The 26,785-nt window shown below is 51.3% G+C and overlaps 1 protein-coding gene across 13 annotated transcripts in view, besides 3 other annotated features; it reads left to right on the forward strand.

Annotated features, from left to right (window-relative positions):
- The window catches only part of CTDP1 (CTD phosphatase subunit 1), a 79,858-nt gene that overhangs the window by 8,637 nt on the left and 44,436 nt on the right, over positions 1 to 26,785 (forward strand). For 12 of the 13 annotated variants that reach the window (XM_047437924.1, XM_047437922.1, XM_047437926.1 and 9 more), the window contains 5 exons: positions 9,821 to 9,904; positions 10,573 to 10,666; positions 12,456 to 12,584; positions 19,363 to 19,513; positions 24,942 to 25,032. In XM_047437924.1, coding sequence (XP_047293880.1) covers positions 9,864 to 9,904; positions 10,573 to 10,666; positions 12,456 to 12,584; positions 19,363 to 19,513; positions 24,942 to 25,032 — 506 coding nt within the window. In that variant the 5' untranslated portion in view covers positions 9,821 to 9,863. Of the gene's footprint in view, positions 1 to 9,820; positions 9,905 to 10,572; positions 10,667 to 11,394; positions 11,540 to 12,455; positions 12,585 to 19,362; positions 19,514 to 24,941; positions 25,033 to 26,785 lie in introns of those variants that run through there. The other variant, XM_017026078.2, reaches the window with a different exon arrangement.
- Positions 12,399 to 12,900: an enhancer, noted in NCBI's record as "H3K4me1 hESC enhancer chr18:77457803-77458304 (GRCh37/hg19 assembly coordinates)". NCBI's record gives its function as "activates a minimal SCP1, AML or CMV promoter by ChIP-STARR-seq in primed H9 embryonic stem cells {active_cell/tissue: H9 hESC(primed)}" and the evidence as "EXISTENCE:reporter gene assay evidence [ECO:0000049][PMID:30033119]".
- Positions 12,901 to 13,400: an enhancer, noted in NCBI's record as "H3K4me1 hESC enhancer chr18:77458305-77458804 (GRCh37/hg19 assembly coordinates)". NCBI's record gives its function as "activates a minimal SCP1, AML or CMV promoter by ChIP-STARR-seq in primed H9 embryonic stem cells {active_cell/tissue: H9 hESC(primed)}" and the evidence as "EXISTENCE:reporter gene assay evidence [ECO:0000049][PMID:30033119]".
- Positions 25,783 to 25,975: a silencer, noted in NCBI's record as "fragment chr18:77471187-77471379 (GRCh37/hg19 assembly coordinates)". NCBI's record gives its function as "represses an EF-1alpha promoter that drives an FKBP-Casp9 reporter gene in an ReSE screen in K562 erythroleukemia cells {active_cell/tissue: K562}" and the evidence as "EXISTENCE:reporter gene assay evidence [ECO:0000049][PMID:32094911]".

Below are 26,785 nucleotides of genomic sequence, written 5' to 3' on the forward strand. Positions count from 1 at the left end.
CTGGGAGCCTGCAGTGACTGGTGAGAACTAACAGGCGGAGGCCGTGTGCGAGGGTTGATGACGTCTGACAGACTGTACCTGTGCCTTTAGCGTGTCCACAGGAAGGGCATCTGCATTCACCAGCGCAGGGTGTGAGAGTGCCACAGAGAAGCAGAAAAACATTGCTGAATAAAATGAAGATCATTCCAACAGCAACGGTATTGCTGTCTTTATTGCTTTGTAGATTTTGGAATGAGAATCTCTGAGAAATAGTAATACAGTTAGAATAGGCTGCAACCTAAGATTAGTCCCCGAATTTATTGTTCTGTGATGAGGGAGTAGAAGCCTCTGAAATTCTAAATGTGCTTCAGTCAGTGCACGAACGTCGTCACCTAAGGGTCCGGTCCTGGAAATAAGGACATTTCGTTTTCATCCTGGTACCAAGAATCTTGATGAATTGGTAATTCTTTTAGAATAGTTTTATTATTAACAATTCTAATAATTATTTAGAATACTTTTATTCTTCCCTGTTGACGCCTGCACTATTTAAAGGATGATACTTTAAAAAAGATATTTGTGCCTAAAATTTGGGGGGCTGTCACTTTGTCAGCCCATTAAACGTGGGTAAGTTGCACTTCAAACGTTTTGCTTTGTTTTTCCCACTTTTCACCTAACAGAAAACCACTGGGCCTTGTTACTTGCTTGGTTTTGTTCGTCTGTGATTTACCTTTGTCATGGGTTTTTAGGTATCTCCGATCTAATCTTTTAGATAAAGGACTTTGAAGCACGTCTGCCTGGAAATGGTTTGTAGGTTTCAGAAATTTTGTGTGCATTATCAGATTTGTCTCCATTTTCATGGTTTCTTTAAAGTTAGTTTTAAAGTGGGTTATGTGAAATCATCTAGTATCTGGGTACAGAGGAATGGATGAATTCTCAGTTTTATGTGTGTTTTAAAAGTGCACAAATACAAAACGGAAAACAAGCGATGTAAGTTGTCTCAGAAAAAAGTGCTTTTTATATTTTCAGGAGAAAGAGAATGTAGAGAGAATGGAACTGATGAGTTTGAAGAGATTCAGGTGATATTTCTTAAAGGATAAATGCACATTTTAAAGGTTATGAAGAGATGGTCTTGGTAGGTTTTTAAATATACATCTAGCATCATATGTGCAAAATTCCTTACAATGTTAAGAGGAACTTGAGCTAAAACTTAACTCATTTAATATTTGTAACATTTTTGAAGTAGCGTTTAAAAGACAGTAATTTCCCTACGGTGCTTTAAATGGTGAAGAATGCTGGTGTCGTACGATTTTGATGCATTTTTTGTGCTGACTATAGACTGGCGGGAATGATGCAGTTAGCGAGTTGATACCCAGCATCATGTTGGCTTCTCCAGTTCACTGGTGGGCCTGCACCACAGCAGTTGGCTTCTCCAGTTCACTGGTGGGCCTGCACCGCAGCAGTTGGCTTCGTCAGTTCACTGGTGGGCCTGCACCGCAGCAGTTGGCTTCGCCAGTTCACTGGTGGGCCTGCACCGCAGCAGTTGGCTTCTCCAGTTCACTGGTGGGCCTGCACCGCAGCAGTTGGCTTCTCCAGTTCACTGGTGGGCCTGCACCGCAGCAGTTGGCTTCTCCAGTTCACTGGTGGGCCTGCACCGCAGCAGTTGACTTCTCCAGTTCACTGGTGGGCCTGCACCGCAGCAGTTGGCTTCGTCAGTTCACTGGTGGGCCTGCACCGCAGCAGTTGGCTTCTCCAGTTCACTGGTGGGCCTGCACCGCAGCAGTTGGCTTCGTCAGTTCACTGGTGGGCCTGCACCGCAGCAGTTGGCTTCTCCAGTTCACTGGTGGGCATGCACCGCAGCAGTTGGCTTCGTCAGTTCACTGGTGGGCCTGCACCAGAGCAGTTGGCTTCTCCAGTTCACTGGTGGGCCTGCACCGCAGCAGTTGGCTTCGCCAGTTCACTGGTGGGCCTGCACCGCAGCAGTTGGCTTCGTCAGTTCACTGGTGGGCCTGCACCGGAGCAGTTGGCTTCTCCAGTTCACTGGTGGGCCTGCACCGCAGCAGTTGGCTTCGCCAGTTCACTGGTGGGCCTGCACCGCAGCAGTTGGCTTCGTCAGTTCACTGGTGGGCCTGCACCGGAGCAGTTGGCTTCTCCAGTTCACTGGTGGGCCTGCACCGCAGCAGTTGGCTTCTCCAGTTCACTGGTGGGCCTGCACCGCAGCAGTTGGCTTCTCCAGTTCACTGGTGGGCCTGCACCGCAGCAGTTGGCTTCGCCAGTTCACTGGTGGGCCTGCACCGCAGCAGTTGACTTCTCCAGTTCACTGGTGGGCATGCACCGGAGCAGTTGGTTGGTTGTCCTGAGCATACCACCAGGGGGTTAAAGTGTTTTCAGGCTGGAAGCATTTGACACCATGGCTCCCTGGGGTCTGTGGAGGTTCTGAGGCAAGGACTTTCCTTGCAGGTCTGTTTACCCAGCAGAGAGGGCAGTAGGGTCTGAATGGTGTGGTGCACGTGGTGCCACGTGGTTTTGAGACGTGCTGGGAACTGGTTTTGTTGGATGACTCGCTCTAGACCACAGTGGCAGTGTTGAAGCTTTCCAGCCACGGCTCTGTGGATGTGTGCAGTGTTGGGAATCAGGCTGGGCTGCCCTTGTTCCTTCTTTACATTCCTCAGACGTTGTGCTTTACAGCCACAGTTTCAGTAACCGCTGCCAGAGCCCCACCTGTGCGTGTTCTCCAGGATGGCTGCGTCTGGGCTCTGGGCGACTGAACCAGGTGCAGAGCGTCAGCCACAGCTGACGACTGCACTGCACTGGACTCCAGCCTGGGGCTCCCACCCCTGTGGCTGCACAGGAGACAAAACAACAACACTTGTTCCTTTGAAGCTGTTTGTTTTTTGTTTTGAGATGAAGTTTCACTGTTGTCACCCAGGCTGGAGTGCAGCGGTGCAATCTCAGTTCACTGCAACCTCCACCTCCTGGGTTCAAGCGATTCTCCTGCCTCGGCCTCCTGAGTAGCTGGGATTACAGGTGCCCACCACCATGCCCAGCTAATTATTGTATTTTTAGTAGAGACAGGGTTTCACCATGTTGGCCAGGCTGGTCTCGAACTCCTGACCTCAGGTGATCCACCTGCCTCGGCCTCCTGAAGTGTTGGGATTACAGGCGTGAGCCACCGCGCCCAACTAATTTTTGTATTTTTAGTAGAGGCAGGGTTTTACCATGTTGGCCAGGCTCATCTCGAACTCCTGACCTCAGGTGACCCACCTGCCTTGGCTTCCCAAAGTGCTGGGATTACAGGCGTGAGCCATCACTCCCAGCCACACCCGGCTAATTTTTGTATTTTTAGTAGAGACGATTTCACCACGTTGGCCAGGCTGGTCTGGAACTTCTGACCTCAGGTGATCCTGCCTCAGCCTCGCTAAGTGCTGGGATTACAGGCGTGAGCCACCACACCCAGCCACTCTGGCTCTTTTGGGACATAATTTTTGACCTTAAAGTTGCAAGAACAGTGCACAGAATTCTCACACCAGCTTCACCCCAGATTCCGCAAATGTTAATGCTTTGCTGAGTTTGCTTATCTTTCCCCATGCACACGCACATTTTTCTGGAGTTGGAGAGTTAGTTGCAGGTGTGATGTCACTTCACCCCTAAATACTTGAGTTTCCTGAAAACAAAGACGTGCTCTTACATAGCACTAATAGTCCTAATAAAGTCCTTTGTAACAAAAGCAAGCCCTGGACCCCACGTGGCATCGCTGGTTGAACCCTCAAGAGTCAGCTCCTTCGTCTTTCTTTCTTTCTGTATCATTGCCTGGTTTAGTAGGACATCCCTCAGTTAGATCGCAGCTGTGCACTCTGGTGAGACTGTCCCAGAGCCTGCGTTTAGTGAAGGTGGTGTCTGTTGTAAAAAGTTACAACTTTTCCTGTTGTAATTCAGTATCTTGAAAGAGATACTTTGTTACCACATAAATACATTTGCACCAAGCTGACCCACATTTTGGGTATCTGTCAGTGATTCCTGCTTGAATCGCTTCATTTCTAGGATGATAGTCCAGTGGTGGTGTTCTCAATTCCAGCATTTCTTCTCCACTTTTTGGTTGACTTTCTGCCGTAAGAACAAATAAGGCCAGGCGTAGTGGCTCACGCCTGTAATCCCAGCACTTTGGGAGGCCAAGGTGAACAGATCACCTGAGGTCAGGAATTCGAGACCAGCCTGGCCAATATGGTGAAACCCCATCTCTACTAAAAATACAAAAATAGGCGTGATGGTGCGCACCTGCAGTCCCAGCTACTCGGGAGGCTGAGGCAAGAGAATCACTTGAACCCCAGAGGCAGAGATTGCAGTGAGCTAAGATCACACCACTGCACTGCAAACTAGGTGACGGAGCGAGACTCCGTCACAAATAAGTAACATGTCTATTTAGCAGTGTAGGCTCATGGTTTCTTATTTAATGGCTTATAATCTGTTATTGTTATTATTTGCCTTGACACAAAACTTATCCCAGCTGTGGCCGGCGGGATCCCCGTGGTGCTGGTTCCCGGCGGCTGAGTCTTGAGGCATTGCCGCCTTGTCTGCATAACGGATTCTAGGCTGCTGCTCTCCTGGCCACAGTCCTGGAATCAGCCATTCTCCAACAAATCCTGCTGCTTCTTGGTGGAGAATGACATTTAGAAACCCAAGGTCTAGGTGCAAAAAATACACTCTTCCCTCTAAATACATTTCTACACTCAGAATGTTGGAACTTAGGGAAGACCCTGGAGCCCTCCTGATCTGTAGAAGGAAGGGAGAAGGTTGGACCCACCTGGAGGCGATGCTCAGAGGTGATGGCGTCCATGGTCCAGGCCCAGCCCGTAGCCCTCTCTGATGTACCCATGCCCTCGGACCTCCCCTGAGAGAGCTGAGAGGCCAGAACCCCACAGAGTTTGGTACTTACTATACTTGTGTATTTTGAGGCAAATAACTTGTTTAGAAGTTGCATGTCATGGCTTTCTCATGGATTTTCTTTAGGACAAACCAGAAAACATTTATTGGTGACTGATTGGACGTTTTTGGGCTGAGCTCTTTGGTTGGGTGTTTTTACGTTTGTGTATCCGCATTCAAGAATCCACAACGTGTCACACCCCTTTTTAAGGTGTGGAGACGTTTCTCTGCCTGGAGCGTGGAGGCTGGAATGAGAGCGTTCAGGGCTTTTCACCCCTGTTTTCTGTCAGCATCTGCAAAGACGAAGTGTAGAAATGTCTCGTATTAAGAAAAGACATTGCTCTCTGCTCCCTGTCTGCACGCGGGTTTCCCAGCCTTTGCACACACAGACATTCTGAGCCAGATGGCCTGGCTGGGAGCATCCTGCATGCTGTGGGTTGCTGAGCAGCTTCCCTGCCTCCAGGTGTGATATCCAGGAGTGTCTCCAGCCACTACAGGAGTCCTGGGGTGGGGGGTGGAGCAGAGCCTGCACTAGAATAAGACAGTCAGAACCTTTCAACCGCAGTACAGAAAATTACGTGACTCCGACGTGGCCAGTATGCGAGTGATTTTCTACGAAGGCCTGTGTTTGGTCACGTTGCTGGAAGCCTGCGGAGTGCTGCCTGCGTGCACTGGGCGCAGGTGCCCTTGGCGTCAGGAGCCGGCCTTGTCTCTGCCACCGGGACCTTGCGTGGTTGCCATTTCCAGCCCTCACCTGCTTCCTACTCGTCTGTCAAGACCCAGCTGTTACAGCTGCTGTGACACTGTTCTAGAAGCTTCCTTCCTCGTGTAGAACTAGGCATCTGCTGTAGTCATCTGCCGGTGGCACCTCCGTCTTGCAGTCGCTCTCGTCTGACTCGTATTACACTGTTGGTGACAGCAGGCAGTGCGCACCCGACTCAGCTTATAGTCAACTTTCTTCAGACCTCAGGCTGCGCTGGTGGCCCAAGGGAGGCTGTTTGTGGGAAGCAGGGCCAGCTTACACTCGCTCTTAGACCTGTGCTGGGGAAGGCAGGTGGCACCTGGGCTTGCTACCAGCCCTTCCTTGGAGCAGGAGGCCCCCGTCCTTTGTGGCAGCCTAGTGTCAATGTGCGACGGGTCACACAGCTTCCCAGGCAGGACTCGGGCTGGGGAACAGTGGACAGCTCCCAGGGTGGACTCGGGGTGGGGAGGAGTGGACGGCTCCCAGGGTGGACTCGGGGTGGGGGAGGAGTGGACGGCTCCCAGGGTGGACTCGGGGTGGGGGAGGAGTGGACGGCTCCCAGGGTGGACTCGGGGTGGGGAGGAGTGGACGGCTCCCAGGGTGGACTCGGGGTGGGGAGGAGTGGACGGCTCCCAGGGTGGACTCGGGGTGGGGGAGGAGTGGACGGCTCCCAGGGTGGACTCGGGGTGGGGGAGGAGTGGACGGCTCCCAGGGTGGACTCGGGGTGGGGAGGAGTGGACGGCTCCCAGGGTGGACTCGGGGTGGGAGAAGAGTGGACGGCTCCCAGGGTGGACTCGGGGTGGGGAGGAGTGGACGGCTCCCAGGGTGGACTCGGGGTGGGGGAGGAGTGGACGGCTCCCAGGGTGGACTTGGGGTGGGGGAGGAGTGGACGGCTCCCAGGGTGGACTCGGGGTGGGGGAGGAGTGGACGGCTCCCAGGGTGGACTCGGGGTGGGGGAGGAGTGGACGGCTCCCAGGGTGGACTCGGGGTGGGGAGGAGTGGACGGCTCCCAGGGTGGACTCGGGGTGGGGAGGAGTGGACGGCTCCCAGGGTGGACTCGGGGTGGGAGAAGAGTGGACGGCTCCCAGGGTGGACTCGGGGTGGGGAGGAGTGGACGGCTCCCAGGGTGGACTCCGGGTGGGGAACAGTGGAGAAAACCTTTGCAGAACACACTCTGCAGGCGTTTGTCAGCCGTTGATCCATTTGTGTGAAGCCCCACTGGCTGGAAGGTGCCCCCCGCCCGCCATGGAGTTTTCTGGGCACCTTGGTGGGTCGTCTGTCGGTCATACCTTTGAGTCTTTCTGGACTCCTCTGTTCCATGCGTTTATGTTGTATGCCTGATAAGTTCTGAAGTCAGGTAGTAAAAGTTCTCTGTTATTTTTGAAAATTGAGATTCTAGGTTTTCTGAACTTCCATATAAATTTCAGAAGCAACTTGTCAATTTCTACAAAAAAACACCTGTTTATTGGTTAAACTAGAGCCACCCCAGATCCTTCTTCATGTTAACATGTTTAGGAGAGATTGGCAAAATCCTCCTAGTTCATATTTGAGGATTCCTTTCCCTCTCTTCCCCTTGCAGGGGGTAGAGCAAGGAGGAGCCCGCGGTGAGCTGGTGTCTTGCATGGGGCAGGGGGTAGAGCGAGGAGCCCGCCGTGAGCTGGTGTCCTGCGTGGGGCAGAGGGTAGAGCAAGGAACCCGCCGTGAGCTGGTGTCCTGTGTGGGGCAGGGGGTAGAATGAGGAGCCTGCCATGAGCTGGTGTCCTGTGTGGGGCAGGAGCTGTGCAGAGTTTCCTTGCAGAAGGCTGATTGCAAAATGATGTCAGCTGGAGACCAGGGAAGCCTGTTAGAGGGGCTGGGGCTCCCAAGTGGGGTTGCTGCCAGGACTGGGGGAGCAGTGCCCAGGGAAAGGACGTGGGGCCATTGGGAGGACTGGGTTTGGGTGTTGGCGGTGGGGCCGCAGAGCCCTGTGGATGGACGAAAACAGCTCAGCCGGGGAGTTGGGGGCTGCCAGGCATCGGAGAGGAGCCTGGATGTGGAGGCCCCGAGTGCGATGGCGGTAGGGACACAGACTCCTGGGCGGGGATGGCCCCTGTGGCCTCAGCAAGCAGGGAGCAGGTGTCCCTGAGGCCTGTGAAGCCTGGCAGTGTCTTTGAGCAGGTGTGGTGACCGGGAGGGAGGATGGTCCAGTGTGGGGTTTGTGCGTTTTTTTTGTTTTTGTTTTTGTTTTTTTTCAGAGATTGGGTTTTTAGGTTAAGTCTCTGCTCATTGGGGCATTTTAGGGCAGAACTCTAATCATTCATTGTAAAGTATTTTGATAAAATTAAGGAAATCATACTTGTCACCTTAGAAAGTTTAACACACTTTTTCAAACAAGGTGTCACTATTTTGTTGTCTGGTTTAAGAAAAAAACCTGATACAGGTTGAGTCTCCCATATCCAAACTGCTTGGAAACAGAAGTGTTTTGGATTTCTGGGTTTTTTTGGATTTTGGAATATTTGCACGTATACATGACGAGATGTCTTGGGGATGGGACGTGAGTAAACGCGGAATCCATTTGTGTTGCACATGCACTGTGTACGCACAGGCCCAGGACCCGGAGGAGCTCAGATTCTTGATAGTCACCGGCAGCCCACTCCATCCCCGAGGGCTCGGAGCCCCGCACCGTGTGTCCTCAGCACCGTTCCTCCTCCAGGGTGATCCGCACACGCCCATCCTCCTCCCCAGGAAGAACTCCCCTCCACTCCCCTCCAGGCTACAGACCCGCCCCTCCCATTCTCCCTGCAGGATGCTGGCTACAGACCCGCCCCTCCGAGTCTCCCTGAAGGATGCAGGCTACAGACCCGCCCCTCCGCTCCCCTGCAGGATGCAGGCTGCAGACCCGCCCCTCCCAGTCTCCCAGCACAGCCTGCCATGGCACAGTGGGCATGGAGGATGTGGCTCCGCCTTGTTTCCGCCTGTGGCCTGATCCTTGCGCCCTCTCGATGACATGGCTGGGGGTCTTGGTGGGCCATGGGGCATCCCGCCTGGAAAGGTCCCATTGACAGATGCAGCTTGGGTGGCTGTCTCATGTCCGCGGGTCAGGGTGGTCGGAGCAGCCCGGCTGGGACGGGAGTGTGGGGGCTGTGAGCACCTAGGGGCGGGTGCTGAGTGCTGGGCGGCCTCATGTCTGCAGGGCAGGGTGGTCGGAGCAGCCCGGCTGGGATGGGAGTGTGGGGGCTACAGGCACCTAGGGGTGGGCGCTGAGTGCTGGGCGGTCTCATGTCCACGGGGTGGGGTGGTCGGAGCAGCCCAGCTGGGACGGGAGTGTGGGGGTTGCGAGCTCCTAGGGACACTGAGTGCCGGGCAGCCTCGTGTCCGCGGGGCGCGGTGGTCGGAGCAGCCCGGCTGGGATGGGAGTGTGGGGGCTACAGGCACCTAGGGGTGGGCGCTGAGTGCTGGGCGGTCTCATGTCCACGGGGTGGGGTGGTCGGAGCAGCCCGGCTGGGGTGGGAGTGTGGGGGCTGCGGACACCTAGGGTCAGGCGCTGAGTGCTGGGTGGTCTCATGTTCGCAGGGTGGGGCGGTCGGAGCAGCCCGGCTGGGGTGGGAGTGTGGGGGCTGAGGGCACCTAGGGGCGGGCGCTGAGTGCCAGGCGGCCTCTGGTCTCATAGCCTTCAGATTTCAGCACTTCTTCCATGGCTTCTGCCAGAAGACCACTGTTTGGACAAATAAAACAGTTTGTGTTTATATAAAACGAACATTACAGTCATTTTGTCAGGAAAATGTAGTTGCATCAGCCTCTGTCTAGACTGGGAATGATATGAAAGTTTTAGATTTTATAAATTCTCTAACGGAAATGTCAGAGGATCACATATAAATAGTGTGTTTTGAGACAACTTTATGTTATCCCCAAGTCTCCTCTTTGGACCAGACATCCTTAGTTTTTTCAGCTGTTCCACGGGTGGCACGGGGGTGGTGAGGTGTGGTGGCGTGTCATTTTTCATGAGAGACACCTGTAGGTGGAAAGTCCTTTCATTTTATAGACAAAGAAATGCCCTCAAGGGGTGATGTCACCTGCCTACAAAGTTATGCAAGGGTTAGTGTAGAATTGGTACAAAAACCTAGATTTTAAAATTCTTACTTGGGGGCTCTTTTGATAAACCAAGAGATTTTAAAGTGTTGTTCCCCTTGTGTTTTTTTGTAGAGCGGTTCTGGTGAGGTTGGAAGGATGCAGCCACCCGGTTGTCATGAAAGGCCTGTGTGCTGAATGTGGCCAAGACCTCACCCAGTAAGTATCCGGAAGAGTGAGATCGCTGCCTGCTGGGGCTCGAGGTGGTGGCCTCCGGGGAGTCCGAGAAGCTGTGCTGGGAACACAGTGAGGCCCTTGGTTTCCCAGCGGCAGATGCAGACGCCTCCCTTGGGCCCCATACGAGTCACACTCAATGGGTTTCCCTGGAGGCAGTCCTTCCTGCTCTGTGACCCCAGCCTCATGCCATTCTCAGGTGTGGTGGGGGGGCATGCTGGAGGGCCGAGACCTGTTTTCTCCTGACTGAAGACGCAGATCGCTGAGTGCCTGGAGCAGCCCCTCCCTCTGGGCCGCTGAGCGCCCCATGCTGGGGGCTGCTTTACCTCTAATGCCAAGTGGGAGGTGCGGCAGCTACTTTTTCTGCGTTTTCATGGTTGAGGGCCTGTTTCTGCTTCTGTGTGACTTTGCAGTTTGTTTTCATGAAGGACTATGGCTCTGTGTGTTCATGAGTGTGGCCACGAGCTCAGTGTTTCCACCAGTTTTCCTGTCTGTGGAGAATGTTTCCACGTTTGCCGACAGAATCAAGTCTGTGCTAAGATAGCAGCGTGTGTCCGTTAAAACATCAGCTAGAATCCTGTCACTTAGAGCCCAGTGTGCATCTGTGCGCAGAGACTCAGCTGAAAGCCCTGAACCTGTCCTTGCACTTGCAGGTTGCAGAGTAAGAACGGGAAGCAGCAGGTGCCGCTGTCCACGGCGACCGTGTCCATGGTGCACAGCGTGCCGGAGTTGATGGTGAGCTCCGAGGTGAGCCGGGCATCAGTGGCGGCGTGTTGGGGAAGCGTGGTGCTCTGAGGAGGGCGGCTGCAGGAGGAGGGTGGCTGCAGAAGCACGGACGTGTGGTTGTCATCGTCGTTACTGAAACAACCCCTCATCACACGGATGACTTATGGGACTGCGGCCTTCCTGAAGCAGGGACGGTTGCCCTTGGTTCTCCACAGACAAGTCTGCCTGCAAAAGCGACTCAGGGCCCCGAGGCTGTGTGACCTGCGTGTCGGGAACACCAGGTGCTGCCGCCGCAGCTGTGAACAGCCAGGCTCAGCCTGGGTTCCCTTGAGCCAAGTCCTAACTGGGGAGGGATGTGACAGCTGCTCATGGAGCTCAGGAGGTGGCCGCGCTGCCGAGGCATGTGCTGGATGACCCGGGAGGGCAAAGCGCATATTGGGGCAGATAATGGCGAGGAGTCGGTGGCCGGGGGTAGGGGCGGGGGGACGTGGTTGGTAGCACCTTGTTGGCTACAGGAGCGGCTGCTGCTGGCACCATTGGGAAGCTGGCTCGGGAGAGTGGGCACATGCAGGGGCGGGTTGGGGGTCCCAGGAGTGTTTGCCTTGTAGCCGACAGGAGAGCCCATGGGGGGTACGCAGGGTGGAGAGGACGGGCAGGTGTTCACGTGCCCAGTTAAGAGTGAGATGGGTTTTTATCTTCGAGTGCTACGCCTCGTTTATGTATTTCAGGAGTTGCTGGGGCACTGTGGGTCAGCGGCTCCGGGCACCTCCTGTGCTTGAGGCAGACACCGTCTCCCCGACCTCGCTTCACCCCGTGGGTGAAAATGCTCTGGGAGCTGAGAAAAACTAGTTTGTGATCTTACAGACTTTCAGGGCTGCACAGTTTTGTAAATAGGTAAAACACTTTCCAGTGTTACGATTTTAGTAAATTCGTGCTTTTAAATGATGGACACCAATTTCAGTCTATCTTTTTATGGGAAAAGCAAAATGCCAGATACAGGATTCTGGGTTTTCTGAATTACCAAACTTTAAACAAATGTAAAATGTGTATGCGTAAACCAAAGCTGGCAAGTTTGAGGGTGAAGGGAGGAGGAAGTACCCCCCATCTTTCTGGCACCTGCCAGCCCTTCCGTGCGTTTCCCTTCGGGGATGGGCACGGGAGGAGGTCCCCCCTGAGCGGGACCAGGATTTTGTTGTGAAGAGTGAGGGCCAGTTACAGTGAGAAAGGCAGCGTGGTGCGTCACATCCCGTGTCCCATGCCGGGCTCCTGATGCCGGGGTGACCGGGCCCTTGTTAGGAGCTCCACTCTGGGCCCCGCGTGGAGGGACACCCCGATGCGCTGTTGCCAGGCCCCCGGGTCTCTTCGAGGCACAAGAATAGGCTGAGCGTGGAAGGTTCTGAGCGCGGGAGATTCTGAGCGCATTGCCCTTACCAGTCTCTGCTGCCCAGCTTGGGCCACCCAGCGTCTCCCAGCCGGCCGACTTGGTTTCTTCATTAATTTTGCAGTTCACTTTTATTGAGCACTCCATACTGTTGAATCCAGCTTTTATAGAAACAACCAGTTTCCCTTCCCCCTCCGTTTTCATTGGCTCATGTATTTAACTGAATTATAAAATTGTGGTCACAAGCGAGGTTGCCGTGACCAGGTTGGTGACCCAGCCCTGCCTCTCGGCCTGTACGGCGCAGTCCATGGAGCGTGGGGGGCTGGAGGGGAACACATTGATATAGTTTTGTGTTTCTCGATGAAATGGAGTTTTACCTTGGATGCAAACATACTGACTTTGTCATTTCTTGTTTCTTTTTAATTGTAGCAAGCTGAACAGCTGGGAAGAGAAGACCAGCAGCGACTGCACCGAAACCGGAAGCTGGTGCTCATGGTGGACTTGGACCAGACGTTGATTCACACAACCGAGCAGCACTGTCAGCAGATGTCGAATAAAGTGAGTGCAGTCAGCATCTACGGACAGTTTCCCAGGAACCGCGGGTCCTAGAATTTTGATTCAGAAGTGTGTTCTCTTGTTTTTTAGATGATTTCCCGTAGGTCAGCCTGGGTTTGGAAAGCAGACTTGCTAGTTCTGGGCGTGGGCCGTGTGTCTGCTGGGCTGTTGGGGAGCATCCGCGGCTCCCGGGCAGACATCCCGACGCCCACTGTGTCTCACGCTTCCTTCCGTGTGTGTGGGAACCCTTTGTGTGCCTGCCCGGCACGATGTCGGAGAAGGCAGAAACGTCCCGAGCCTGTGAGGATGGTGTGGTGGATGGTGCGAGGCGTGTCCTGAGAGGGGCAGTCTTGGTGGGGAGGACGTTGGTGTTGGATGCCTTTATGTTGCTAGGATGTCAAGGGCAGGTGGACGCCTGGGTTTGTGCTTGGGAGAACTGGGCTGGAGGAAAAGCCTGGGTGGGAGGTGACCAGCGTACATTCTCCAGGGGAAACACGGGGAAATGCAGGGTGAGGGCAGAACCCTGTTTAATGCACACGAAACCCTTCCTGTGCCTCAGCTGTGTCCTCAGGATGGAACCAGAGAAGCTGAATTTCTAGACCGAAGGCTTTGAATGTCTGTGCCCAGAGGCTTGCGCAGAGGCTTGTGTCGGCCTAGACGGTGGCCATCAGGGAGGCCCTCACCAACACTGAGTTGTTTTTTAAGTGTTTGCTATTGAACAGTATGTGGACTCTGGCGTTAGATTTGGGATTTCAGAGGCCCATCAGTTCTGACCTTACCAGTTCTAAAGGTTCCTGGGGATCCTGCAGGTCCCAATAGCAGACACCCAGCAGGCTGGAGGATGCACCACGGAGCCGGGCATCCTCCGCTGCTGAATGCCGGGGCGTGGTACCAACAGCTGGGACAGATTGATGACAGTTACACATAAGTCAAATTTGTGACAAGCTTCATCTGGAAGAAGTTTGGTTAAGTTTGGCCTTGTAAGTCAGTCAGGTGGTCAGGGTGAGCTGCACAGACCCCCCAGGTGGCACAAACTCTCGCGTTTTATGCTGTTTGCAGAATGGAGAGAATCGAGTAACTGCCGTGCTGCACAGGAGTTTGTTTAGGGCCGGAATTCAGGTCTAACCCACAAAACAGCTTCTATTTCTGGCTGTGTTAGTCATTTGTGTGTCTCGTGGCATCTTACACAGCAGTCTATTCTTCTGTGCAGTATAAACTGTGACTAGATATTTTCAGATTGCTTCGTTCATACCCGCTACTCTACTCACTAAGGTTTTTTGTTTGTTTGTTTTTGAGACAGAGCCTCACTCTGTCACCCAGGCTGGAGTGCAGTGGCAGGATCTTGGCTCACTGCAAGCTCTACCTCCCGAGTTCACGCCATTCTCCTCCCTCAGACTCCCAAGTAGCTGGGACTACAGGTGCCCGCCACCACACCTGGCTAATTTTTTGTATTTTTTTTAGTAGAGACGGGGTTTCACCGTGTTAGCCAGGATGGTCTCAATCTCCTGACTTTGTGATCCGCCTGCCTCGGCCTCCCAAAGTGCTGGGATTACAGGCATGAGCCACCGCGCCCGCCCAAGGTTTTTTTTTTAATGCCTATTTTCTGACAAACTAGGTATTTTGAAGGATGTAAGGACTTTATGAAAATACATTCTGCACACATATACCTTCATGAGTTGCTGTGGCTGTTTCCTGCTTTTATTGTGCCTTTGAAGTTGGGCATTGAGTGAGTTTTACAGGCACACCTCATTTTATGGTGCTTCACTGATACTGTGTTCACAGGGAGGAGGCTCGGAGCAACCTGGCGAGCACGTCTGCAGGTGCCATTTTCCAGCAGCATGTGCCCCCAGGTGTTGTGCCACGCTCTGGAAATTTCCCGTGTACTTCAGCCTCCTCGTTAGTGCTCTGCTGTTACAGGGAGCTGTAGTCAGTGATCTTTGAGGTCACTGTTGTCATAGTTGCTTCATCAGTGTTCTGTCAGCTATAGGGATTTGTGGTCAGTGATCTTTGAGGTCACTGTTGTCATTGTTTTGGGGTGCCACGAACCACACCCACATAAGACGGCAAACGTAATGGGTAGATGTGTGTGTCCTGACTGCTCCACCAACTGGCCATTCCCTGTCTCTGTCCCGGTGCTCAGGCCTCCCTATTCCCTGAGACATAACAGTATTGAAATTAGGCCAGCGTAGTAACCCTACAGTGACCTCTGAGTGTTCAAGTGGGAGGAAGGCTCACCAGTCTCTCACTTTAAATCAAAAGGTAGACGTGATTATGCTTAGTGAGGAATGCACGCCAGAAGCCAGGAAAGGCTGCAAGCTGGTCCTCTTGCACTAAACAGCCAAGGTGTGAATGCAAAGGAAAAGTTCTTGAAGCAAACTAAAAATACTACTTCAGTGAACACACAGATGATGAGACAGTGAAACAGCCTTATTGCTGAGAAAGAGAAAGTTTTAGTGGTCTGAGTAGAAGATCAAACCAGTCACAACATTCCCTTAAGCCAAAGCCTAATCCAGAGCAAGGCCCCAACTGTCTTCAATTCTGTGAAGGTTGAGAGGGGTGAGGAAGCTGCAGAAGAAAAGCTGGAAACCAGCACAGGTTGGTTCATGAGGGTGAAGGAAGAAGCCGTCTCCGTAACACAAAAGTGAAGGTGAAGCAGCAGGTGCTGTTGGAGAAACTGCGGCAAGTTCCCCTGGAGATAGGCTGAGATCACTGATGAAACTAAACACGCTAAACAACAGATTTTCAGTGCAGACAAAACAGCCTTCTGTTGGAAGAAGATGCCGTCTAGGACTTTCATAGCTGGAGAGGAGAAGTCAGTGTCTGGCTTCAAAGGACAGGCTGACTCTCTCGTTGGAGACTAACTAATGCAGCTGGTGACTTTAAGTTGAAGCCAGTGCTCATTTGCCATTCTGAAAATCCCAGGGCCCTTAAGAATGATGCTAAATCTCCTCTGCCTGTGCTCCATCCATGGAACAACAAAGGCTGGATGACAGCACCTCTGTTCACAGCATGGTTTACTGACCATTCTAAGCCCGCTCTTGAGACCTGTTACTCAGAAAGAGAGATTCTTCTAAGAAATATTCCTGCTCATTGACCATGCACCTGGTCACCCAAGAGCTCTGATGGAGACGTACAGGAGAGGAATGTTGTTTTCATGCTGCTGACACCACATCCACCCTGCAGCCCAGGGCTCAAGAAATGATTTCCAGCTTCAAGTCTTATTATTTAAGAACTACATCTCCTGGCCAGGCGCGGTGGCTCACACCTATAATTCCAGCACTTTGGGAGGACAAGGCGGGTGGATCACGAGGTCAGGAGATCAAGACCATCCTGGCTAATGCGGTGAAACCCTGTCTCTACTAAAAATACAAAAAATTAGCCGGGTGTGGTGGCGGGTGCCTGTAGTCCCAGCTACTCGGGAGGCTGAGGCAGGAGAATGGCGTGAACCCGGGAGGCGGAGCTTGCAGTGAGCCACGATCGCACCACTGCACTCCAGCCTGGGTGACAGAGCAAGACTCCATCTCAAAAAAAATAATAAATAAATTAAATAAATAAATAAATAAATAAATAAATAAATAAATAAATAAAAGAGCTACATCTCCTAAGGCTGGAGCTGCCTTAGAGAGCAATTCTGATGAATCTGGGAAAATCAAACAGAAAATCCTTCTGGAAAGGATTCACCATTGTGACATTGCAAGTGCCACCAGGAACATTTGTGATTCATGGGAAGAGGTCAGAGTATCTGCATCAACCAGGAGTTGGGAAGATGTCGATTCCAACCCTCAGTTCGGAAGATGTTGATTCTGACCTTCATGGATGACTTCCAGGGCTTCGAGACCCCAGCGGAGGAAGGAGCTGCAGGTGTGGTGGAAATAGCGAGAGAATTAGGAGTGGAGCCTGAAGATGACTGAACTGCGGCAACTTCAGGATGAAACTCGAACAGATGAGGAGTTGCTTCTTACGGATGAGCAAAGAAAGTAGTTTCTTGAAATGGAATCTGCTCCTGGAGAAGATGCTGCGAATGTTGTTGAAATGACCAAAAAGGATTTGGAAGATTCCATCAACTTAGTTGGTAAACCAGCGGCAGGGTCTACGAGGATTGCTCCTAGTTTTGAAAGCAGTTCTTCTGTGGGTAAAACGCTGTCAAACAGCATTGCATGCTACAGAGAAACCTTTTGTGAAAGGAAGAGTTGATTGATGGGACAAACTTCATTGTCATCTTATTTCAAGAAATCATCACAGCCACCCCCAGCCTTCAGTAAACACCCCTCTGATCAGTCAGCAGCCATCAGCATCAAGGTGAGACCCTGCGCCGACAGAAAGACTATGACTTGCTGAAGGTTCAGATGGTTGTTAGCATTTTTTAATCATAAAATTATTTTTTATTTTTTATTTTTTAATTTTTTGAGACGGAGTCTTGCTGGGTTGCCCAGGCTGGAGTGCAGTGACACGATCTCTCTATCCTGCAACCTCCACCTCCCGGGTTCAAGCCATTCTTGTGCCTCAGCCTCCCGAGTAGCTGGGACTACAGGCGTGTACCACCACACCCAGTTAATTTTTATATTTTTAGTAGAGACGGGGTTGTGCCATATTGGCCAGGCTGGTCTCGAACTCCTGACCTCAAGTGATCCTCCCGCCTCGGCCTCCCAAAGTGTTGGGATTATAGGCATTGAGCCACCACGCCCGGTGATTTTTAATAATAAAGTATTTTTAAATTAAGTTAGGTACATTGTTCTTTTAGATATAATGCTATTGAATGTTTAATAAGCTGCAGTAGAGTGTCAGCATGGATTATATTCACTGGGAAACCAAAAAATTCATGTGATTCTCAGTATCTCCAGGATAGGCCTGCTGAAGACAGTGGAGTCTAGTTATAATGTGGCTGTTTCTCAGTTGTGTGGTCTGGAAGGTGACAGTGTCCTGATGTAGTGGGGAGGGGGGTCTAAGCATGAACGGTCTGTCCTCTGCCTCCTCAGTAGCAGTAGTGTGCCCCACTTGACATCCAGAGGAGACCCTGAGGCTGGTGCCTGGCCCTACTGCTGGCCCCTCTGAAAGCAATTTCAGGGATCAGAAGTGGTGCTGGCCACAGCTCCCGAAGCCTGGACAGCTGCTGGACTTTTTACTGTTGAGTAATGGGAAAGTTGTTACTAGAACTTCTCACTCCTAAATATTTGACAGAGTAGCTTCTTCATGACGGTCGTGACTAACTTAGAGCTAGAAAAATGTAACTGGGAAAGTTGTTACTAGAACTTCTCACTCCTAAACCTTGAACAGAGTAGCTTCTTCATGAGGGTCGTAACTAACTTAGAACTAGAAAAATGTAACTGAGCTTAAGTCATCTACCTTTTTTTAAAGCCATTAAGAGTAAATATTTTACTGAGAAAATAACAGGATTTAAAGGATCGAAGTTTAGCTTCCTAAGGAAAGCAGACTCATTTGCATGTCGATCATATGTAAGCGAGTCGGTGTTGCTCATTTCACTGTCTACTAAATATGACTTAGAATACTTTCAGCTTTTATGTTGTATATGTAGATGAAAGAAACTGTCTGAAAATCACCCATGCGTTATACCAGGTTACCCGGGAATGTTGATTTCCTTTATTCAGTAGCTCAGGAAAACACTGTCAGCACGTGATGTTGGTGGAGGTCTGTTCCGAGCAGCTGCGGTGGCCTTGCTGTGTAACACGTATCAGCGAGGAAACAAAGGCAGAAGTGACATCAGTGGTTAGCTCATAGTTAGTGTAGGTTGTTACTGTTGGCGTGGTTATCAGGGGTGGTTATGTCCTAGGCGGTCGTTGCAGGTAGGTAGTTACCAGGAGTAGTTAGTGTAGCTATCATCGGTGGTTATGTAGTTATCATAGGTGGTGACTGTTGGCGTGGTTATTGGGGATGGTTATCGTGTAGTTATCACAGGCTGTTACTCTTGGCTGGTTATCGGGGGTGGTTATCCTAGGCGGGTCGTTGCAGGCAGGTAGCTATTGTGAGTAGTTAGTGTAGCTGTCATCGGTGGTTATCATGTAGTTACCGTAGGCTGTTACTGTTAACGTGGTACCCAGGGTGGTTATCTTGAACAGTTGTTGCAGGTAGGTGGTTATCCTAGTTACCACGGGCAGTCAGTATTCACACTCACTGAGGGCATTCCCGCAGCAGAGAAGGCCGCACTCACTCACTCGTACCGCGTGCATGGAAACTACTTACACAGTGGGTTTTAAATGCCACGGGTAGCCCCTTGCACCAGTTAGGGTCACGTCCTTATTTGGAGGGTCAGGCGGACATGCGTCCTCTGTCCCACGTGGAGAGGTGTGTGCACACTCCTATCCCCTGTCCCATGTGGAGGGGCGGGTGCAAACGCATCCTCTGTCCCACGTGGAGTGGTGTGTCCACACGCATGTCCTCTGTCCCATGCCCACGTGGAGGGGCGTGTACACACGCATGTCCTCTGTCCCGTGTGGAGGGGCGTGTACACGCACACGTGTCCTCTGTCCCGTGTGGAGGGGCGTGTACATGCTCACATGTGTCCTCTGTCCCGTGTGGAGGGGCGTGTACATGCAAACGTGTATCCTCTGTCCCATGTGGAGGGATGGGCACATGTGTGTCTTCAGGACGCCTGTCTCAGGCACCCGTGTGTCTTCAGGACGCCTGTCGGGCACACGCGTGTCTTCAGAACGCTTGTCTGGGGCACACGTGTGTTCTCAGGATGCCTGTCTCGGGCACACAGGTTGCGGGGGCGGCCGGGGCTCCTCAGGCCTTTTCTCCCGACTGTTGCTACTATTCTTTTTAGGGCATCTTTCACTTCCAGCTGGGCCGGGGTGAGCCCATGCTGCACACGCGCCTGCGTCCACACTGCAAGGACTTCCTGGAGAAGATCGCCAAGCTGTACGAGCTGCACGTCTTCACCTTCGGCAGCCGGCTGTACGCACACACCATCGCAGGTCAGTCAAGCCGCAGCCGAAGAGGCCGTGTGAACAGTGGGTTTCTTTCCTGTTTTCGGTGATGGTTTCTTAAAGATGAAGAAAGAAAAGAAGCTCTCCTGCAACTCAGTTGTAGTCTTAGGGTTGGCCGTTGTGCAGGGGGTTGTGAGAGGTAAGGGAATTCTGCCACCAGGGCTGTTGGGTGGGGCCGCGGCTGCTCTGGCCGGGTGCGGTACTGGGTGGGCCGCTTTGGGAGTTTGTCAGGACCACATGGGCACGTGGAAACTTCTGCGAGCGTCCTCCGACAGATACCTTCTTAAATCAGTTCACAGGGACTTTGGGCCGGGCTGCTTGTGTGTGCTCTTGCTGGGTGCTGTCACTGCACACAGCATGATTGTCCCCTGCCTACACATGGGTACCCTTAGGGTTTAGCGTTTGCTTCTGTCTCCCTGGGTGATAGCGTGAATGCCAGGCTACGGTGCCCTCTGGGAGGCAGCACCAGCAGGACGAATCGAGGGGACAGTGCCACGGGACGGTGACTGTCCCATGTGGATGCAGTGAGGGGACGCCACAGGATGGTGACCGTCTGTCCTTCATGGACAAAGCGAGGGGACAAAGTGGGACAGCGACCGTCTGTTCCACGTGGACGAAGCAACGTCTGTCCCACGTGGACGAAGCAAGGGGACAGTGCGGGACGGCGACCGTCTGTCCCACGTGGACAAAGCGAGGGGGCTGCCACGGGACGGCGACCGTCTGTCCCACATGGATGTAGGCGCCGAGTGGCAGTGTAGGCAAGCTCCTCCGTACTGGCTCCAGAGGTTGTTAGACTGAGCATTTTAAAATTCAAAGGTCTTTCTAGATTGGTCTTAGTCTTTTGTTGTTGTTGGGGAAATGAATTTTGAATCCTCCTTTAATATTTAGTGCCTTTATAGGAAATTGTGATCATGACCTTTAATTCCTCTTGTAATTGAAATTTGAAATATTCACCTGTAACATTATGGCTGCTGCTGCATAGCTGCCTGAGACAGATGATGTGAAGACGAGTAATTATGCACAAGGGTGATATTGCTCACTTCCTCGGGCCAGTGAAGAAATAATGCCTGCTATGATCTGAGGGTTTTACAGCCCCCAAGTCCATGTGTTAAAACCCAGTCCCAGGGCGAGGGTGTTAGGAGGGGCGTGGGAGGTGGTGAGGTCCTGTGGACTCCATCCTCGTGAATGGAATCAGGGCCCTTACCCAGGTGGGCCCTGGGAGCTGCGGGAAATGCAGCAAGCCGGCGCCCACTGACCTGCAGCCAAGTTGCTGGCGCCGTGGTCGGACGCCGGCCTCCAGAACTGTGAGGAAGGGACGTGTGTTCCTGAGTCACCCACACTATGGAGTTTCTTTAGAGCAGCCCAGGCCGACTAAGCTGCCCACTGTGTGGAAATAGACCCCCAAATCCCCATGTGTTCCAGCCCCAGATTGTGCCGTTGCAGCCAGTGCCAGGCACCTCCCAGAGGACAACCCATAAGTCACACAAACCGCAGGGACAGTGACGCCCACTCAAACCAGACAACTGAGCGGGGCATCACTCTCACAATAACAAATGTCAGGGAAAGACTAAAAACCAGAAAATTATTCCTCACGCTCATCATATCCATGGCTGTCCCCTATTCTCTGGTTTTTTTTTTGTATGTATAATTTTGCCTAGTTTGTCTTAATATATGTACAAGTTTACATACCGTTCTTTTCACATAAGATTTCATCACTAAGAATTTATCCATCACGTTGTTATAAATCTTCATCATTTTATGTAAGATTTTTTTCCCTCCTCTGTGGACTGGATCCTCTGGGTGAGTTCCTAAAACCAGGATTGTTCGGTGAGGGAGTGGTTCCTGACCCCCAGGACTGTGAGGACTGCACGCCGCATGGCCTGCTCCCTGGGAGGGTGACGGGTTTGCCTCCCGCCTCCCACACAAGGCGCACACCAGCGGGCACAGCCCGGTGACCTGCACGTCTGAGTCCAGGATGCCAGTGATGTTTCTTCTCCTCCTGTCCCGTCTTCCATACGTTGATCTGGTGCCCGTGCAAGTGTTTCTCATTTCGGATTTCCTTCTCCAGGTCTCTCTCTGAAGCTGGGCTTCTTTAGGTTCGCTGTTTCACACGTCTTGCTTATCCTTTCCTGAGGTGCATCGATGTTTGCTGGTCAGAGCACACAAGCCCCAGTGAGGAGGAGCATGTGGAAGGCTCGGATCTGTTTAAATGCTTGGCTGGAGGGGTTTGGGCTAAAAGCAGAGGGTCCCAGGTTTTAGCCGGGCTACACCCTTGCCACCCGTCACACCAGCAGGCAGGGTATGGGTCACCACAGTCTGATTCCACGTTCATGAGGCCTCGTGTGGTGAGAGATGAAGCAGGTGACGAGAACGCCATGTTTCTTTATCAGCCTGAAAGCTGGAGGGAGCCTGGGAGCTGCTCGCAGATTCAGCAGAGCATCCATGCAGACATCCGCAGGCCTCTGAGCCGCTTAGACAGCAGAGCAGGGAGCCTGCTGGTGGGCGCTTGGCTGCGGAGAGCCTCGAGCGCGGGTCCTCCTGCAGTGAGACCAGCTAGGTTTGTTGAGCGTCACCGGGCCGTCTGGTGCCTTCTCCGTTTCAAGCTCTGCTTTCTATGCTAAAGTTCCAGCATTCCAACGTGTCCAAGGGATGTCGGCCAAAACCAGACGAAGACATCACAAGAAAACTGCAGACCAGTATCCCTTTGAACATGGATGCAGAAATTCTCAACAGAACATGGGCCCTCGAGCCCAGCAACGCAGGAGGAAGACTGTGTCCAGGCTGTGGTTCAGGAAGGCCGAGCTTTGCTTCATTGTGGCTGGCGGGATCTGTAGAGATGACCTGGGTCAGCTTTTCTACAAGTGAGAAAGTGAGGTCCGGACTGAAGCCTGAGGTGGTCGCCGAGCATCTGCTTTTGATGCTTTTCATTTTGAAAGTGACCGTGTTGATAGCATGCGTGCTTTCAGTATGACTAGGACAGAGATGTTAAGAGTTTGCGATGCGTGTCTTTTATCTGATAGTAGAGACGCTAATAATTCTATTAACAGACTTTAGATCTAGCGACTTCATGGCCTCAGTGATCATCTGGAATTTACGCATAGTGAGAAACAATCGCATTTATTTCTCCTTTAAGCCCAAGTATCTTTTGGTTAATGAAATACTAACAAACCAGTGGTATCAGGGAACGGAAAGCTCCTGGCAGTACTGCATTTGAAACGTCTGGAGGTGGTGATGCTTCAGCCAGGAAGCAGGTTCATCTTCCCAGAAGATCTTACGGATCCCACAGTGCATTGTGCATAGTGCCGTGGGGCTGCAGGGTAACTGAGGTGGTGCACAGAGCAGCTCTTCTGTTTTAATTGTAATGTGTATGTTTTAACCTGTATCAAAAACAGCAAATGTGTTTCTCGCATTTGTGATCTCAGAGGTGGTGGTGCAGAGGTTGAGCCCAGTAGGGATGGGTGCAGGGAGTAGTTGATTAAAAGCCAGCGTGAAAACAATAGTGATTATGTGGAGTGCAGTCAGGGCACGTTCAGATCCGGAAGTGGACCCCGTGTGCCACGTGGGGACGTGGAGCCAGGCGTTCCGGGGTGCATTCGGATCCGGAAGTGGACCCCGTGTGCCATGCAGAGGCGTGGAGCCAGGCGTTCCAGTGAGACTTAAGTCTTGAGAGAATGTGGGCTGCGTGGTTGGACTTTGGGTTCACAGTGCTTTTGAGATGTCTCATCTACCTCCTTTGCTTCATGCATAACTAACGGTTATGCAGGGGACCTGCGTGCCATGACAAGACCACAGTCCCAGCTCCCGACTCTGGACCGGCTCACTCTTGTGCAATCCAGTCCCCGTTTTGTTCCACGGCACCTGCACGTGTCAGGCCAGATAGAGGTTGTGTGTTAATGTGTTCAATTTTCTTACAATTTCAGCCTCTTGGGAGAGTAATAATTATGTTGTATTCATTCCCGCACCTTATATTCCTAGCAAAATTCCAAGTAATGTTAAACTCAGTAAATGTTAAATGATCGAATACCCTTAAACACGTTATGTGGGTGCCATGGAATACCTATCTCTTGAGGTATGTGCAGATTTATGGCTTCAGCCACTTGTATGATGAGTAGCTGAAACATTTCTTTTTGAGGCTTCATAATTAACCGTAGCTTTTTCTCTCCAGAATGTTTTAAATGGCTGGTGAAATTAAATTGACATTGAACTTGATGCCTCCAACATATTTTACCAATGGAATAAATTACCTGAAAGGTTGTTTTGTTTTTGTTTAGTACCCCTACTTCTACAAACTGAAATATGTTTCCTATATACTCTGTGGTTCTTGTAAACTAACAAGAGATAACTTATTTTTAAATTATCTTTATTTAAAAATATGAGCACTTTACTGTAAATTGAAGACTTTGCAAACTTAGGAAGATAACACAGTAGGCTTAAAGTTCAGAAGATAAATTTATAGATCAAGAAACCCAGAGCAGAGGTGATCCCAAGAAACCTCTGCCTGATTTGTTGATTTTCACAGTGGTGCTTCCTGAAGTGTAGAAGGGATGTTTGCAGATAGCTTGGTTTTACTATCTTTAAGGAGTCGAAGCTGAGCATCAAGCATGTGAAGCTCTTTAGAAAATTACTGTTAAAAAGTTAAACTAGACTTGTAATTAACGGATGTCATGTGAAGTGCAAGTGTCAAATGTAGCCTAAGCGGATTCTTCGCTGTGGAAGCACCTTCTGCACTAGCTGGTCAAGGTGGTGTCCCGGATGTCCTTCCTTCCCAGTCTCCTCTGTCAGGCAGGCTTCCTCGATGTTGCCTAAATTACCATTATTAAAACGTGTATAATAGTTAGAAATAACCGGCCTTTCTGTGTATTTCTACAACACAGAGTGTGAGTTTGTATAATTCTACTAAAGTAACTTGGGAGAAGCAAACTTCCTTGATAACCTTTCCTCCACTAACCATTACAGATGAGAGCAGTGGGCCACCCGCCTGGGGTTAGGAAAGATCATATCCGAGGTGACGCAGAGTAATTTCAGCTTAGTGTCCAGACTCCATCACGTGAAGAACCACATGCAGAGTGTTTTGAGATCAAATGATGACTTACCTGTTTTACTTATGCAAGTGCCTTCCATAATTTTCATATCCATCTGGTTTAGATAGGCACTTCAGTAAGATATTACAAATTTTTCATGTTAGTAGAATTATAAACACTTATCAACATGGTTTGTGTTTGAGAAATAAGTTCACCATAAGAGAAAAGAAGCCCCACACGAGCCACGTCTTACCTCAAAAGGGATGAAGTGTTTGGTGCCAGTTCATCATGTTGTGTGTCTGCCACTTTAAAAAAAACATTCAAGGCTTCACCATGTGCCGTGTGACCGAAACGTGTCTCAGGTATGTAATCTTTGTCCTGTTTTCTTTTCCAAGGCTTTTTAGACCCCGAGAAGAAGCTTTTTTCTCACCGAATATTATCAAGGGATGAATGTATTGACCCATTTTCTAAAACGGGAAACCTTAGGTATGTACCCAGCCGCGCTCCTCACAAAGACCTCGCTGTTCATTTCCCATTTCAAAAATCGCATCTTGAAATTTAGAGCAGTATTTCTTTTTTTCTTTTTTTTTGAGACGGAGTCTTGCTGTTGCCCAGGCTAGAGTGCAGTGGCGCGATCTCGGCTCACTGCAAGCTCTGCTTCCAGAGTTCACGCCATTCTCCTGCCTCAGCCTCCTGAGTAGCTAGGACTACAGGCACCCACCACCTCGCCCGGCAATTTTTTTTTTTTTTTTTTTTTTTTTTTTTTTTGTATTTTTAGTACAGACGGTGGTTTCACTGTGTTAGCCAGGATGGCCTCGATCTCCTGACCTCGTGATCTTCCCGCCTCAGCCTCCCAAAGTGTTGGGATTACAGGCATGAGCCACTGCACCCGGCCTAGAGCAGTATTTCTGTATTGATGTTTTTTAGGAATTTAACATCCCCTTTCCAGTTTTCATTGTTAGCCTCAGAATACTTAGAAAGTTCCTTTCTAACCTGTACTCCCACTGTCTCCCAGGTGCCTGAGCCCTGGTGCTTGTGCAGGGCCCCCAATCCAGGCTCTGCCCCATCCCAATAGCCCTGTCCTGCCCTGAAACTGCCCTTGAGCTGGGCTTTTGTGTCTGTGGAGGCGGGGACTGTCATCCTCTCTGCCTCGTCTCTGTTAGACAGCACAATTCGATGTCAGCCCGCCACCTGACGTTGTGTATCTGTCATCCTCTCTGCCTCATCTCTGTCAGACGGCACTGATTCGATGTCAGCCCGCCACCTGACGTTGTGTATCTGTTTGCTTAACCAACCCTGGCATATGTGATCATTCTAGTCCCTTGACCTCCAAATTTTCATTCCTATGCGAAGACCTGGCATCGAGATTTGTGGTTGGAGAGGCAGGAGGCAGGCGTGTGTCCCCACAGTAGCCAGCTGTGAAGGATTTGGCCCTTTTGCCTCTGAGTATCCAGGGAATGGCCAGGGCTCCTGGGGAACTCAGCGACTGGACTTTCGGGCCCAGAACCCAGGAGGGCAGGCGTAGGGACGGGATGGCATCAGGGAGGTGGCAGTCGAAAGGACCCGAGTGGGCAGAGGAATGTGAATAGCCCCACCCCACGCACAAGCTCAGCAGCTCTGCGGGGCCACTGGTTTAGCGGCAGTTCTTGACATCAGCGTCAGCATCTGAGGTTGATAATTTTCTTAGGAGCTTGCTTGTGTTAATCCTACTAATAATTTACAAAATCCTAAGTCACTTGACTATTATGCCCATATTTTTGCCTTTTGCCATTTCTTCCTTTCCATCAGCTCCAGAGCCCCTTCCTGTCAGCTCCTCTGAGCCTTTTTGACAGGGCAGGCCGCTCCCCGCCCCTCCGCAAAGACTTTTTAATATTCTTTTATATGCTTTGACGTTTCTTGCCCACTGTATTCGAGGAGTTTCCCCATTTCCACCCGGAAGTCCGTCCTTGCTGATGTAACACCATGTCAGGTGTGGCTTGTTTTCCCGAGGAGCCTGGTGGCCACAGCCTCAGCTTCAGCCACTTCCTGGTTCTCGGTGGCCAGTCCCCACAGACTGTGAGACCTATGCTTGCTAATGTTAACTAAGAAGAGAATCTGAAAGTATTTACTTCAGAAACCTCCTTTTTGCTAGTTAGCGCCAGAGTGAGTAGATTAATCAGGGCAAAAGAGAATGAGAGGTGCTGTTAGTGTGTTACAGGGAAAAGTCACCCGAAGGCAGAATGATAGGATCGAATGGGGA

This window comes from Homo sapiens, chromosome 18, assembly GCF_000001405.40.
Source record: "Homo sapiens chromosome 18, GRCh38.p14 Primary Assembly".
In the NCBI taxonomy this organism is placed as follows: domain Eukaryota; kingdom Metazoa; phylum Chordata; class Mammalia; order Primates; family Hominidae; genus Homo; species Homo sapiens.